Source organism: Homo sapiens, chromosome 1 (genome assembly GCF_000001405.40).
Source record: "Homo sapiens chromosome 1, GRCh38.p14 Primary Assembly".
Classification (NCBI taxonomy): Eukaryota; Metazoa; Chordata; class Mammalia; order Primates; family Hominidae; genus Homo; species Homo sapiens.
The window spans coordinates 116975581-116991554 of NC_000001.11; the positions used below are offsets into that span (position 1 = coordinate 116975581).

Consider the following 15974-nt stretch of genomic DNA (forward strand, 5'->3'; position numbering starts at 1 on the left):
ACAACCTCCACTGCTGATACCCAGGCAAACAGGGTCTGGAGTGGACCTCCAGCAAACTCCAACAGACCTGCAGCTGAGGGTCCTGACTGTTAGAAGGAAAACTAACAAACAGAAAGGACATCCACACCAAAACCCCATCTCTACGTCACCACCATCAAAGACCAAAGGTAGATACAACCACAAAGATGGGGAAAAAACAGAGCAGAAAAGCTGAAAATTCTAAAAATCAGAGCACCTCTCCCCCTCCAAAGGAACGCAGCTCTTCTCCAGCAACGGAACAAAGCTGGACCGAGAATGATTTTGACAAGTTGAGAGAAGAAGGCTTCAGATGATCAAACTTCTCTGAGCTAAAGGAGGAAGTTCGAATCCATCGCAAAGAAGCTAAAAACGTTGAAAAAAGATTAGACGAATGGCTAAATAGAATAACCAGTGTAGAGAAGTCCTTAAATGACCTTATGGAGCTGAAAACCATGGCATGAGAACTACGTGACAAATGCATAAGCTTTAGTAGCTGATTCGGTCAACTGGAAGAAAGGGTATCAGTGATTGAAGATCAAACGAATGAAATGAAGCGAGAAGAGAAGTTTAGAGAAAAAAGAGTAAAAAGAAATGAACAAAGCCTCCAAGAAATATGGGACTATGTGAAAAGACCAAATCTGTGTCTGATTGGTGTACCTGAAAGTGATGGGGAGAATGGAACCAAGTTGGAAAACACTCTGCAGGATATTGTCCAGTAGAACTTCCCCAACCTAGCAAGGCAGGCCAACATTCAACTTCAGGAAATACAGAGAACGCCACAAAGATACTCCTCGAGAAGAGGAACTCCAAGACACAAAACTGTCAGATTCACCAAAGTTGAAATGAAGGAAAAAATGTTAAGGGCTGCCAGAGAGAAAGGTTGGGTTACCCACAAAGGGAAGCCCATCAGATTAACAGCGGATCTCTTGGCAGAAACTCTACAAGCCAGAAGAGAGTCGGGGCCAATATTTAACATTCTTAAAGAAAAGCATTTTCAACCCAGAATTTCATATCCAGCCAAACTAAGCTTCAGAAGTGAAGAAGAAATAAAATCCTTTACAGACAAGCAAATGCTGAGAGATTTTGTCACCACCAGGCCTGCCCTACAAGAGCTCCTGAAGGAAGCACTAAACATGGAAAGGATCAGCCGGTACCAGCCACTGCAAAAACATGCCAAATTGTAAAGACCATTGATGCTAGGAAGAAACTATATCAAGTAACGAGCAAAATAACTAGCTAACATCATAATGACAGGATCAAATTCACACATAACAATATTAACCTTAAATGTAAATGGGCTAAATGCTCCAATTAAAAGACACAGACTGGCAAATTGGATAAAGACTCAAGACCCATCAGTGTGCTATATTCAGGAGACCCATCTCGCGTGCAGAGACACACATAGGCTCAAAATAAAGGGATGGAGGAAATTCTACCAAGCAAATGGAAACAAAAAAAGGCAGGGGTTGCAATCCTAGTCTCTGATAAAACAGACTTTAAACCAACAAAGATCAAAAGAGACAAAGAAGGCCATTACATAATGGTAAAGGGATCAATTCAACAAGAAGAACTAACTATCCTAAATATATATGCACCCAATACAGGAGCACCTAGATTCATAAAACAAGTCCTTAGAGACCTACAAACAGACTAAGACTCCACACAATAATAATGGGAGACTTTAACACCCCACTGTCAGCATTAGACAAATCCATGAGACAGAAAGTTAACAAGGATGTCCAGGAATTGAACTCAGCTCTGCACCAAGTGGACCTAATAGACATCTACAGAACTCTCCACCCCAAATCAACAGAATATACATTCTTCTCAGCAACACATCGCACTTATTCCAAAATTTACTTCCAAAATAGTTGGAAGTAAAGCACTCCTCAGCAAATGTAAAAGAACAGAAATTATAACAATCTCTCAGACCACACTGCAATCAGACTAGAACTCAGGTTAAGAAACTCACTCAAAATCGCTCAACTACATGGAAACTGAACAACCTGCTCCTGAATGACTACTGGGTACATAATGAAATGAAGACAGAAATAAAGATGTTCTTTGAAACCAATGAGAACAAAGACACAACATACCAGAATCTCTGGGACACATTCAAAGCAGTGTGTAGAGGGAAATTTATAGCACTAAATGCCCACAAGAGAAAGCAGGAAAGATCTAAAATTGACACCCTAACATCACAATTAAAAGAACTAGGGAAGCAAGAGCAAATAAATTCAAAAGCTAGCAGAAGGCAAGAAATAACTAAGATCAGAGCGGAGCTGAAGGAGATAGAGACACAAAAAACCCTTCAAAAAAATCAATGAATCCAGGAGCTGGTTTTTTGAAAAGATCAACAAAATAGATAGACCACTAGCAAGACTAATAAAGAAGAAAAGAGAGAAGAATCAAATAGATGCAATAAAAAATGATAAAGGGGATATCACCACTGATCCCACAGAAATACAAACTACCATCAGAGAATACTATAAATACCTCTACGCAAATAAACTAGAAAATCTAGAAGAAATGGATGAATTCCTGGACACATACACCCTCCCAAGACTAAACCAGGAAGAAGCGGAATCCCTGAATAGACCAATAACAGGCTCTGAAGTTGAGGCAATAATTAATAGCCTACCAACCAAAAAAAGTCCAGGAGCAGACGGATTCACAGCCGAATTCTACCAAGGTACAAGGAGGAGCTGGTACCATTCCTTCTGAAAGTATTCCAATCAATAGAAAAAGAGGGAATCCTCCCTAACTCATTTTATGAGGCCAGCATCATCCTGATACCAAAGCCTGGCAGAGACACAACAAAAAAAGAGAATTTTAGACCAATATCCCTGATGAACATCGATGCAAAAATCCTCAATAAAATACTGGCAAACCGAATCCAGCAGCACATCAAAAGGCTTATACACCATGATCAAATGGGCTTCATCCCTGGGATGCAAGGCTGGTTCAACATATGCAAATCAATAAATGTAATCCAGCATATAAACAGAACCAAAGACAAAAACCACATGATTATCTCAATAGATGCAGAAAAGGCCTTTGACAAAATTCAACAGTCCTTCATGCTAAAAACTCTCAATAAATTAGGTATTGATGGGACGTATCTCAAAATAATAAGAACTATTTATGACAAACCCACAGCTAATATCATACTGAATGGGCAAAAACTGGAAGCATTCCCTTTGAAAACTGGCACAAGACAGGGATACCCTCTCTCACCACTCCTATTCAACATATTGTTGGAAGTTCTGGCCAGGGCAATCAGGCAGGAGAAAGAAATAAAGGGTATTCAATTAGGAAAAGAGGAAGTCAAATTGTCCCTGTTTGCAGATGACATGATTGTATATTTAGAAAACCCCATCGTCTCAGCCCAAAATCTTAAGCTGATAAGCAACTTCAGCAAAGTCTCAGGATACAAAATCAATGTGCAAAAATCACAAGCATTCTTACACACCAATAACAGACAAACAGAGAGCCAAATCATGAGTGAACTCCCATTCACAGTTGCTTCAAAGAGAATAAAATACCTAGGAATCCAACTTACAAGGGATGTGAAGGACCTCTTCAAGGAGAACTGCAAACCACTGCTCAACAAAATAAAACAGGACAGAAACAAATGGAAGAACATTCCATCCTCATGGATAGGAAGAATCAATATCATGAAAATGGCCATACTGCCCAAGGTAATTTATAGATTCAATGCCATCCCCATCAAGCTACCAATGGCTTTCTTCACAGAATTGGAAAAAACTACTTTAAAGTTCATATGGCACCAAAAAAGAGCCCGCATTGCCAAGTCAATCCTAAGCCAAAAGAACAAAGCTGGAGGTATCACGCTGCCTGACTTCAAACTATACTACAAGGCTGCAGTAACCAAAACAGCATGGTGCTGGTACCAAAACAGAGATATAGACCAATGGAAAAGAACAGAGCCCTCAAAAATAATACCACACATCTACAACTATCTGATCTTTGACAAACCTGAGAAAAACAAGACATGGGGAAAGGATTCCCTATTTAATAAATGGTGCTGGGAAAACTGGCTAGCCATATGTAGAAAGCTGAAACTGGATCCCTTCCTTACACCTTATACAAAAATTAATTCAAGATGGATTAAAGACTTAAATGTTAGACCTAAAACCATAAAAACCCTAGAAGAAAACCTAGGCAGTACCATTCAGGACATAGGCATGGGCTAGGACTTCATGTTTAAAACACCAAAAGCAATGGCAACAAAAGCCAAAATAGACAAATGGGATCTAATTAAACTAAAGAGCTTCTGCACAGCAAAAGAAACTACCATCAGAGTGAACAGGCAACCTACAGAATGGGAGAAAATTTTTGCAGTCTACTCATCTGACAAAGGGCTAATATCCAGACTCTACGAAGAACTCAAATTTACAAGAAAAAAACAACCCCATCAAAAAGTGGGCAAAGGATATGAGCAGACACTTCTCAAAAGAAGACATTTATGCAGCCAACAGACACATGAAAAAACGCTCATCATCACTGGCCATCAGAGAAATGCAAATCAAAACCACAATGCAACACCATCTCACACCAGTTAGAATGGCAATCATTAAAAAGTCAGGGAACAACAGGTGCTGGAGAGGATGTGGAGAAATAGGAACACTTTTACACTGTTGGTGAGACTGTAAACTAGTTCAACCATTGTGGAAGACAGTGTGGCGATTCCTCAAGGATCTAGAAATAGAAATACCATTTGACCCAGCCATCCCATTACTGGGTCAAAGGATTATAAATAAATCTGCTATAAAGACACATGCACATGTGTGTTTATTGCAGCACTATTCACAATAGCAGACTTGGAACCAACCCAAATGTCCATCAGTGATAGACTAGATTAAGAAAATGTGGCACATATACACCATGGAATACTATGCAGCCATAAAAAAGGATGAGTTCATGTCCTTTGTAGGGACATGGATGAAGCTGGAAACCATCATTCTCAGCAAACTGTCACAAGGACAAAAAACCAAACACCTCATGTTCTCACTCATAGGTGGGAATTGAACAATGAGAACACTTGGACACAGGAAGGGGAACATCACACACCAGGGCCTGTCGTGGGGTCGGGTTAGAGGGGAGGGATAGCATTAGGAGATATACCTAATGTAAATGACGAGTTAATGGGTGCAGCACACCAACATGGCACATGTATACATATGTAACAAACCTGCACGTTGTGCACATGTACCCTAGAACTTAAAGTATAATAATAATAAAAATATGCCCAAAGTCTGTCCTCATGGAGCTTGGCAACCTAGATGAGGACATGGGCAAGAAATAAAGTGCTCTATAATATCACAGCAATTAATGCTATGAAGACATGCAGAGCAAAGGAGTAGCTGGTGACCAGAGGGTGCTATTGTAGTTAGAATTCTTAGGAAATCATTATAAATTTTTTCTTTGCATTTACATATTAGCATTGCCAACAGGATGCCTAAGAGTTGTGGGACCCATCAGTCTTACTCCTTTTCTGCTTAGCCTCATTTAGTGACCAGTTGATGTCCCTCTCTCACTCTTTGACCCTTAAGACTTGAAAGAACATTAAATGCACTCAGGGGATCTCTGCTACTGAGCAGGACTGTACCCACCTCTGCCTTTTCCTAAAGAACTCATGAAGACCCTAATTCCCTATGGGCTTCCCTTGTCTCCTGCATGCTTTGACCTCGACACTCTGTAGTACCCCACCCCATCACAAGCAGAGCCATGGCTGCCGGCAGAAATCTGCTGCTTGAAAAGGCCAAATTGTACAGAGGTCACAAGTTTCTATGTGGAGACTGCTGGAAGTGTGTCCCTGGGAAAGAAACTAAAAGCAGCTTTCCATTCTGTATGAAGGGGCAAGCTCTAAGCAAAGGGCGGTGGCCTGCAGTGAATCCAGTGAGCCCCTGAGCAGGGGACTGGGTAACACTAGCATCTGGAAGCAGAGGCCTGGATGCCACCACCATCCAGGTGGACATCTGTCTCCTGCAGGACTCCCAGTTGAATGTTCAGGTCAGCAAATATTTTCTGTAAAGGACCTGGGTAGGAAATATTTTGGCCCTGTGGGCCAGATGGCGTTTGTGGCAACTATTCAGCACTGCCATTGTAGTGTGAAAGAAGCCGTAGATAATAATGTAAGCAAATGGGCATAGCTGTGTTCAGTGAAACTTTATTTACAAAAGCAGGTGGTGGGCTGGACTTGGCCTGCAGGCTGTAATTTACTGACCCCTGGACTAGTTGATTGAACCAAAATTGGCTCCAGTAGGGAAGGTGAACATGGCTGATCTTTAGAGGTAGGAAACAGAAGGAGAGTTTATGGGAGATGTTAGAAAAGGAAAAGAAACAATCCCACCCACATCCATGGAGTTGGTTAGCTCCATTCACAGGGGAAGAGGAATGAGAAGCCACTCCTGTACCTGAGATGGGGAAGACTGAGGACAGAAAGCAGAATTCCGAAGAGAAAGTGATGGTAAAACTAGAAGAGACTACCGGGGAAAAGGGAGGAAAATCCTTTTCAAAAGTTGGGAAAATGCGATACCATGTTTGCCCTTAAAGTTCATTTATGATACACACAAAAATAAATCCTTTAAATGCTCTTTCTCAGTAAATTAATAGGTCACCAGTTGTGCCTTTAATATAAAAGCCTTTTCCTCCAGTGTAATTAATTGCAAAAGCTATAGGTAGCTGTTATCTTTCAGATCACAATTTTCCAGAATTTTGCACTCTTGGACTGTGTGGATGGAAGATACTGAATTATTAAACACAAGTTGTAATTTAGTTTTTCCTCACACATGCTGTGGGCTGTGAGGGAATGCTCTTTTGTGAAGGACATGTTGCATAAGTGATTTGTGGGCCAAGGTCCTCTGTGCTGAGCAGGGGTGGGGACAGCAGACTTTGGCCCTTCTGAGGCAGTATCTTAGGTCAGGTTCTCCGCAAGCAAAGACAGACAAGCACGCGAGTGATGGATTGAGGGAGTGTTCTCAGGAGAACACTGAGGGAGGGAGGGACTTGAGATAGAGCTGGAGAAGAAGGCAAGTCGAGGTGTGAATTCAGAGCAAGTCCACCTCCCCACGGGGAGTTCTGGAGCATGAGTGTACTGCAGAGTAGGCCCACCGGAGGGAAGGGGACTGGGCTTTTCTGTCCCTTCACTAGTCAGTCATTGTCCACAGGCTGAGTGGCAAAGAAGCGAGAGCAGTTCATAACCTCCAGGTGGCGGCTTCCATCAGCCTAAGCCCGGCCTCTGGAGGGGGGAGGGTACAGGTGTGTGAATTTTAACAGCCAGTACCTGCAGTGGCCAGAGGCCCAGCCCACCAGCTGGGGTGGACTGGCCACCAGCTGCATTTGCTGCAGCTGGTAATGCCCTTCCCCTTAGCAGGTCTGTGTGTAGGAGCATGTGTGTTGAGCTGTGGAGATAATGTTGTTCATGGTGACCAACTTTTATTGAGTACTTACTGTGTTCCAGGTGCTGTTCTAAGCATTTTAATAAATGTGGTAAATTTAACCCTGGGTTTTGTCATTTTCATTTTGCAGATGAGGAAACTAAGTCTCAGTGAACTTGGGGAACTCGCCCAGGTCACATGGTTCATTAGTGCTGGTGCTGGGATGCTAGCCCAGGCAGCCTGGCCCTGGAGCCTGGCTCCCACACCATAAGGCACAGCGGGGATCAGGGCTTAGAGTCTGGGAACCCGGTTTGGCTTTTTGCCTTCAGCAACCACCCAGCACCTGCAGGTGACAGCAGCACTGAGTTAAGAGTTTTCACTGAAGACGAGAGTGATGCGGGTGTCCACTCTGCCCTTGGCACTGTGAGAGCATGAGGCTGTTTATGGCACTCCCTCTGCCCCCAGGGAGCTAGTTTCCTTGGAGAGACACTGGGAACAAAAAAAAAAAAAAAAAAAAAAAATTATGCTCAAGTGCCACAGTGGGTCAATGGGAGAAAAAGAGAAGATATTACATGTTTAGAGTGAGCTAAGGAAGAATTATCATTTGGATAATTTCATAGAAATTCTTGCTTTTAGTTCTGCTTACTTTTTTAATATGTAAGCATCTGAAAATAATTTATTTGCCTTATGTGCTTTTTGAGGCTATTAGTGTATTTTTACTAAATGAACAAATGTTATCTCTTGTTCGGCAAAAAATTGTGTTATTTGACATTTATATAAAACGCTTTCTCAAGTGGATTTAAGACAACAGTGTCATGGCTGTTGTCTTTTGTTGCTGGATGAATCTCAGAGCCGACACAGCTGATAATGGTTGGTACCAGTCAAGGGAAGAGGTCAAGGGCTTATGATGTGTGCTCTGTTTTCACATTCCATGAGAATTACCACTTGTGCCAAAGTCTTCTTTCTCTTATGCCCATATTAATTTATTTGAGGCTGTTAGAATCTTAATTTTGCAGAGTACTTTACGATTCAGCATTACTCTCTGGGACTGTTAAACTGTGTTCCATTTTCTCAGCTTGACATTTTTTTTCCTCTTGTTTTGAACTTAAGCACTTCTGCAAGGAAAGAAAAACCATAGTGTACAATAAAATCTAAACTGTTTACAACTCTAAATTTGGTGCAATTCATTTTATGTACATTTTGTTCCATATGACTTTAGTGTCCTTCCAGTCTTGGGTTCTTCTGCCTAAACTGTCAAAGGAGCTGGCTTTCTTTGGGAGAGAGAGCCTGCAGTGTCCTGGCATACCAGCTTTCGGATCAGTGTTCTCTGTGGGAGACAGTTTTTGGCCCTGACTCTTCTTCCTGTGGCCCCTTAGTCTGGGTGGCAGCAGTGCAGTGGTTAAGAGGCTGGGCTCTGGAGCTGTACTCCCTGGGTTAAGCTGCACACTCTGCTACCTGCTGACTACATGACCTTGAGCAGGTATATAGTCTGGCAATAATGGCAGAATAAAAGTATGATAGTGCCTTCATCATAGGGCTGTTGTGAGGATCCAGTGAGACCGAAGGCATGTAGTGTTGTGCTTGCCATACGTAGTAAGGGCCTCATACATGGATGTGGCCATACATATGACTTCTGCCCATTGCACTGACCCCAGGGTTTTGGCTTGGTAATCCGTAGATGACATGGCCTTTGATGTGTCCTGGTTTGCGGTGCACTCTTTTGGCCTGGACAAGGCTCCTGTGCTCCTGTCTTCCCTGGATCGGAAGGGCATCGTGACCACCTCCCGGAGGGACTGGAAGAGCGACCTCAGCCTGGAGCGCGTGAGTGTGCTGGAATTCTTGCTGCAAGTGCATGGCTCCGAGGACCAGGACTTTGGCAACTACTACTGTTCCGTGACTCCATGGGTGAAGTCACCAACAGGTTCCTGGCAGAAGGAGGCAGAGATCCACTCCAAGCCCGTTTTTATAACTGTGAAGATGGATGGTAAGAATGTCACCCAAATTTCTCAGTGTTTGGGAATGTCTTCTTCTTGTGCCAGGCTGTAGCTGACAGAACCCAGGTGGCCACAGTTTGAGGAATGTGCCATAGCACGTCCTGCTTTCTTTCTAGACCTGGCCTGAGCCTGCACCCAGAAGGGCACCAGCAGCCCTTGCAGTTTCCCCAGCTTTGCTATTATGTGCTAGTGTCACCATTGATAAATAATTTTCAAGACTTACTAGAAAAATTTTCAAGGCTTTGCCTCTTCCATAAATTTATAGAAACTCGCTTTATGGTGTCCGAGGGTTGGCATGGATTCTGCTAGGCACAGGCAGAGAGCAGCCTTGAGAGAGAGGGCTCAGGTCAATAGGGGAGGCTATAGCTTAGGGACCTGCTACTCTCACTACCACTGGTTTTGCTTCTTAAGAGAGACTCATGGCTGGGCACAGTGGCTCACGCCTGTAACCCCAGCACTTTGGGAGGCCGAGGCGGGCGGATCATGAGGTCAGGAGTTCGAGACCTGCCTGGCCAACATAGTGAAACCCCGTCTCTACTAAAAATACAAAAAAGAAAAACAAAATTAGCCAGGAGTGGTGGCGGGTGCCTGTAATCCCAGCTACTCGGAGGCTGAAGCAGGAGAATTGCTTGAACCCAGGAGGTGGAGGTTGCAGTGAGCCGAGATCGCACCATTGCACTCCAGCCCAGGCGACAATGGGATACTCCATCTCAAAAAAAAAAAAAAGAGACTCCTTCTGGAGTCAGTGGCACAGAGTGGGTACTTCACGGAGCCCCAAGATGGGAGGATGAGCTCCCAGCCTCGTTGGCCCACGATGAACACCAGGGTCAACCTAACTAGACAGTCAGAGCTTTGTTCCTTGAGCATCCCAGAGTGGGGACAGTTGTTCCTTGGTTTACAAAAAACATGTCTCCTTTGTGGAAAATTTCAGAAAGTACATGTTAGTCGAAATAACTCCATAAAGAGAATTAAAGTCCAGGGGCCTCCGAGGATGAGTAAAAGCCTTTTGAGTGTTTCCCTAGTGATCAGTCAGATGGAAATTGGAGCCCTAGCTCTTCCACAGACTACTTAGCCTTTCTGATCCATTTTCTCTCGTAAAATGGGATAATAGTCTTCTATGGGGCTATTTCGAAAATTAAACCTTAGCAAACGTAAAGCACCTAGCCCAGTGGCAGCGTCCACCCAAGGAGCATGGGTACTTATGGGGAAAGGAAGGTGGGATTTCAAGGGTGGAGTCTAAATGGTGTTTGTGCATTTCTGACACTTAAATCATCTGTACCATATTTTGCATCTTAGGAATTCCTTGCTTGAAGTAACTCCGTATAAAAACCCAGATTTAACAAACAGGGGAGTGATTATTCACTTTGCTAGATAATTTAGTATAGTGTTACTTAAAATAGCTCCCTTAGTACACTTCAGTTATTTGATGCATAGGATTGATTTATGCATGGTTTTTTTAAGGATGCATCTGCTGCTGAACGTGCGGTGCCCTTATACTGACTTTTAAAAATCAATCTTTTGCCAAAACCCTAAAAAGCAAGTTGACATTCAAAGGCATCGAGTGAAATCTTCTTTGTGGTTTTTATTCTCCCCGCAGAGCTGGGTAGGAAGACATTTGCTCATTTTTGTGACAGATAAGGCTGAGCTTCTCCTGTCTCCAGTGGTGTGCTAGGTGCTAGATGCAGGAGGAATGAGACCTTATCTCTCGGGAGATCCTGCTCCAGTGGGGAAGGGAGGCGAGGGTGCCCCCAAAGCGGCCTCCCTCGCAGCACTGACTGGCTTCCCCTTTGATCTCTCCCTCCCAGTGCTGAACGCCTTCAAGTATCCCTTGCTGATCGGCGTCGGTCTGTCCACGGTCATCGGGCTCCTGTCCTGTCTCATCGGGTACTGCAGCTCCCACTGGTGTTGTAAGAAGGAGGTTCAGGAGACACGGCGCGAGCGCCGCAGGCTCATGTCGATGGAGATGGACTAGGCTGGCCCGGGAGGGGAGTGACAGAGGGACGTTCTAGGAGCAATTGGGGCAAGAAGAGGACAGTGATATTTTAAAACAAAGTGTGTTACACTAAAAACCAGTCCTCTCTAATCTCAGGTGGGACTTGGCGCTCTCTCTTTTCTGCATGTCAAGTTCTGAGCGCGGACATGTTTACCAGCACACGGCTCTTCTTCCCACGGCACTTTCTGATGTAACAATCGAGTGTGTGTTTTCCCAACTGCAGCTTTTTAATGGTTAACCTTCATCTAATTTTTTTTCTCCCACTGGTTTATAGATCCTCTGACTTGTGTGTGTTTATAGCTTTTGTTTCGCGGGGTTGTGGTGAGGAAGGGGTGATGGCATGCGGAGTTCTTTATCTTCAGTGAGAATGTGCCTGCCCGCCTGAGAGCCAGCTTCCGCGTTGGAGGCACGTGTTCAGAGAGCTGCTGAGCGCCACCCTCTACCCGGCTGACAGACAACACAGACCTGTGCCGAAGGCTAATTTGTGGCTTTTACGACCCTACCCCACCCCCTGTTTTCAGGGGTTTAGACTACATTTGAAATCCAAACTTGGAGTATATAACTTCTTATTGAGCCCAACTGCTTTTTTTTTTTTTTTTTTTGCTTCTCTGCCCCTTTTCCATTTCTTTTGTATTTGTTTTCTGTGAGAGCACTGAAATGGCAGCCCTGGAATCTACAATTTGGCTCTCCACTGAGCACCTTATCTTGCCACCTTAGCCTTAAGAATGAATATGAAGAAAAATACACAGCCACCTCTGTCCAGGGCAGTAAGAAGGGCTGCAAGGAAGGGGAGGATGGGGACAAGGAAAGGATCAGATACCTGCTCCAGTAGTTGTGAGGCCACTGTGTCTCAGGGGACTCCAGGAGGAGCAGAAGAGGGATCCCACGAAGTTATTCTTACGCAGCTGGGGCCAGGAGGGTCAGAGTGGTGCCAGGTGCAAGTTAGGCTAAAGAAGCCACCACTATTCCTCTCTCTTGCCCATTGTGGGGGGCAAAGGCATTGGTCACCAAGAGTCTTGCAGGGGGACCCACAGATATGCCATGTCCTTCACACGTGCTTGGGCTCCTTAACCTGAAGGCAAATTGCTACTTGCAAGACTGACTGACTTCAAGGAATCAGAAATTACCTAGAAGCACCATGTTTTTTCTATGACCTTTTCAGTCCTTCAGGTCATTTTAAGGTCCACTGCAGGGGGTTAGTGAGAAAGGGTATACTTTGTGGTATGTTTTGCTTTCCTAATAGGGACATGAAGGAAACCCAGCAATTTGCTGTTATGTGAATGGCCTGTAGAGCAGAGTCAAGAGCGGTGTGCTTTGCCCGACTGCTCCCATCAGGAATAGGAGAGTAGACAGAGATCTTCCACATCCCAGGCTTCTGCTGCTGCTTTAAAAGCTCTGTCCTTGGAGCCTCCCGCTCCCTGAAGTGTCTCGCCCCCTGCACAGCACTGGCCTTTCGGAAGCATCCCAGTAGGGTTTTCTGAGGCTCGCTGGTGACTCATGCCCTAATTGCAATCCTCTGCTTTTATCTTGACTTTGAAGGATCTAACACTGCTCTCTCTTCCAAAGGGGAAAAAAAGATTCATTTGTTTTGAGCAATAAACTAATACAAAATGATGGCCATTCATGTGCAGCTCTTTGTCACCATGGGCCGGATGAGTTGTGCTCCTCCTGGCTCACCATTTCCCCCTGCTCCCCCACAGCCGGTTCTGCACTTATCACCGAGTCGCCCCTGGAAGCAGATTCCCATTGAGTTTTCCCCACCAAGGGGACCATGCACATGGTAGAAACATTAGATTCTGCATTGACAGTAGCCTTTCCTTGGCCCGGGCCTGTGGTGGGAAGACGGGCAACAAGTATACCCCACCAGGGCCTGAGTGACTAGAGGAAGAGGACGAGGCCTTGTTGGCACTAGATTTGGGTATTTTCTGCATGTCATAACATATCCTAACTGCTATTTCAGAAGAGGCAGCTTGTAGGTGATTGTACAAGTGAGAATTAAAGAGAGAACAGATATTTAAACAGGTGCTGTATTAGTAACAGCCAGTGCCCTTTCAGCCCTTGCATCTATTAAAAGGAGATTCAGGATTTTATTGGCACAGGCCCTTCTTAGTAGGAAGAAAGGGTGCTTAGCTTTGGACCTGACCGGGTGTGTGTAAAACCATGGACTGAGTCACAGCAGACACTCGATGGTGGTAAATGTGATGGGTGCTTACACACTGTACCTTTTCCTTTCATACTGATGCTGCAGTTCAGGGCTGGAGTTGTTAAGGCATTGACCTCCACCCACCTGCCCCATGTCCACTGGGCTGCCCAAGCTGCATGTCACCTGAGGGCTGGCAGGAAGGGGCGAGAAATCCCAGGGCATTGTACCAAGGACCTAGTTCCTTCTAGGGATATAAATTTCCAGGAATGTGTATTTTTAATGTGGTGAGATGCACTCTTTTGTTGTACCAAATAGGGCTCCCCACCCCACCCCTGCGACAAGTGCTCTTCTAGAACAGGTTCCTACCAGCAGCACTGGTGTGAATGAAAGAGAGACCCAGCCGCGTCTCACACAGGTGGAATTGCACTTCTTAACAAAAAGGAACTTTATAAAAGTTTGGGATTTTTTTTCCTAATCATAAAAATAGCCCCAGAAAGAGCCTAAGCTATGTTCAGATAGAAGCCTCGAAATTCCTGTAAATTGTTTACTTTATGATGTTTACATACACGTTTCACTTTGAAAAAAAATGCAAATCGACTTTTTAACAACTGTTGAGATGTTTCATGGGACAGTAGAACTCTGACTCACCAACTGGGCTAAATTTTAATTTAAAAATGTATTTATTTGAGTGTCTTTCCCCCCCTCACCCTCACCATCTGAGGGGCTCCCTGAGATCTTGGTAGAGGAGGCCCCTCCTGCCCAGACCTTCGTTTGTTTCCCCGGTGGCCCTTGCTTCTTGCTTTGCAGACTGCCTGCAGCCATGATTTTGTCACTGACATCTGTGAGCCAAAGACTGAGCCTTTTTGGCAGGAATAATAAGCAATACTACACAACTTGCTACTTTCAGAAAACTTTTTTTTAGCTTCACCGATGACAACAGAGGAAGAAGGGAACTGGGATTTGGGTAAGTTCTCCTCCACTGTTTGACCAAATTCTCAGTGATAAATATGTGTGCAGATCCCTAGAAGAGAAAACGCTGACTTTCTTTTTAAGTGTGGCACATAAGGATCTGCAGAATTTTCCGTAGACAAAGAAAGGATCTTGTGTATTTTTGTCCATATCCAATGTTATATGAACTAATTGTATTGTTTTATACTGTGACCACAAATATTATGCAATGCACCATTTGTTTTTTATTTCATTAAAGGAAGTTTAATTTAAATTGAAGTTGTGTGAGGAGCTTGATATTGGCCTCTGTCCTTTCATATCTTCAGCGTGAGGGATTGTGACTGGATTCCAGCAGCAACTTTAGCACCTTCTGATCTCTTTGAATCCTGTAAAAGCATTGCAGATTTTCACTAATGATAAGAGAAGAAATGGATTTGATGGGATCAATGTTGAAGTTCCCACCGGGTGGAAAGGTGAGGGCTAGGATCCTATTGTTTACAGAAGGCCTCCTGCTCTTTCAGGGAATTCCCATGACCTTACAGGACTCCTCTCAGGAAAGAGAGAAGTTAGATATTGTTCCTCTCTGCAGTTGAGGAAACACCAAAGTTCTGTGACCATATCGTGACTGGAACGGAGTGGTTTTTCTGACTCATGATGCAGTCTGGGGCCAAATCAGTCCAGAAGGTAGCAGCCCCTGTAATAGAAAAACAATCGTCTTCCCTAGGCCGCTGGCGTCAGCAGGCCTGGGCAGGAGTGAATACCGAGAACCCAACTCCCTGCGGGCCCCTGGAACAGCTGCTTGCCCTTGGCTGGCCTCCGCCATTCACTCTCCTCTTGGCCTCGTTTGCATTCTCTGTCTTTTGTGTCCTTTCCAGGGACCAACTTCATGTTGTGGAGTTATTCAAGGGCTGGGTCCGTGTCCCAGTCACTAACATTACCCAATGACTGGCACTCTTCCAGGCATGTAGAAGGCACTTGCACTTTGTAAATGCACAGTTAATGCTCTGCTCTAGGAAATGAGCCATCATTGCATGCTTCTTAGCGAACCGGGAGGGTTCCACTCATGTCACAACGGTAACACGGTCAGAGCTGGTCATTAGCAATCCTCCACCTATTTCTGAACCCATTCCTGCCTAAAATTTAAGTTATAAATTTATATTAATAACATTAAACTAAATTAAAAACAAAACAGGAACTTACTTGCATACTTATTGTGTGCCCAGGCATTGTGCTAAGCACAATTGCTGCTGAGTTGTCTGTAGGCCTTGGCACATAGTATCTGCTTGCCTAGAAACTTATTTCTATCCAGCCTTCCTTCCTCCTAACTTGTACTTCTCTTTCAGGACCCAGGGGTCATCTTCTCCTTCTCTAGGCAAAGTGAAGGTCCCTTGACAGATGGTCTGATAGTCTGAAAATGATGGGAGGATAGGAACCATTCATTGCTGTGGCTTCAGTACCAAATTGTGAATTGGACT

At 44.3% G+C, this 15974-nt stretch overlaps 1 protein-coding gene across 2 annotated transcripts in view, besides 2 other annotated features; it reads left to right on the forward strand.

Annotated features, from left to right (window-relative positions):
- Positions 1-14773, forward strand: part of PTGFRN (prostaglandin F2 receptor inhibitor) — an 80438-nt gene extending 65665 nt beyond the window's left edge. For both annotated transcript variants that reach the window (NM_020440.4, XM_017001874.2), the window contains exons 8-9: positions 9100-9405; positions 11221-14773. In NM_020440.4, the coding sequence (NP_065173.2) occupies positions 9100-9405; positions 11221-11387 (473 nt within the window). In that variant the 3' untranslated portion in view covers positions 11388-14773. The remainder of the gene's footprint in view (positions 1-9099; positions 9406-11220) is intronic.
- Positions 6707-7001: an enhancer, noted in NCBI's record as "tiled region #2959; HepG2 Activating DNase matched - State 8:EnhW". NCBI's record gives its function as "activates a minimal TATA promoter and a strong SV40 promoter by Sharpr-MPRA in HepG2 cells {active_cell/tissue: HepG2}" and the evidence as "EXISTENCE:reporter gene assay evidence [ECO:0000049][PMID:27701403]".
- Positions 14501-15700: an enhancer, noted in NCBI's record as "BRD4-independent group 4 enhancer chr1:117532703-117533902 (GRCh37/hg19 assembly coordinates)". NCBI's record gives its function as "activates an origin of replication core promoter dependent on BRD2, P300/CBP, MED14 and CDK7 cofactors, and independent of BRD4, by STARR-seq in HCT116 cells {active_cell/tissue: HCT116}" and the evidence as "EXISTENCE:reporter gene assay evidence [ECO:0000049][PMID:35650434]".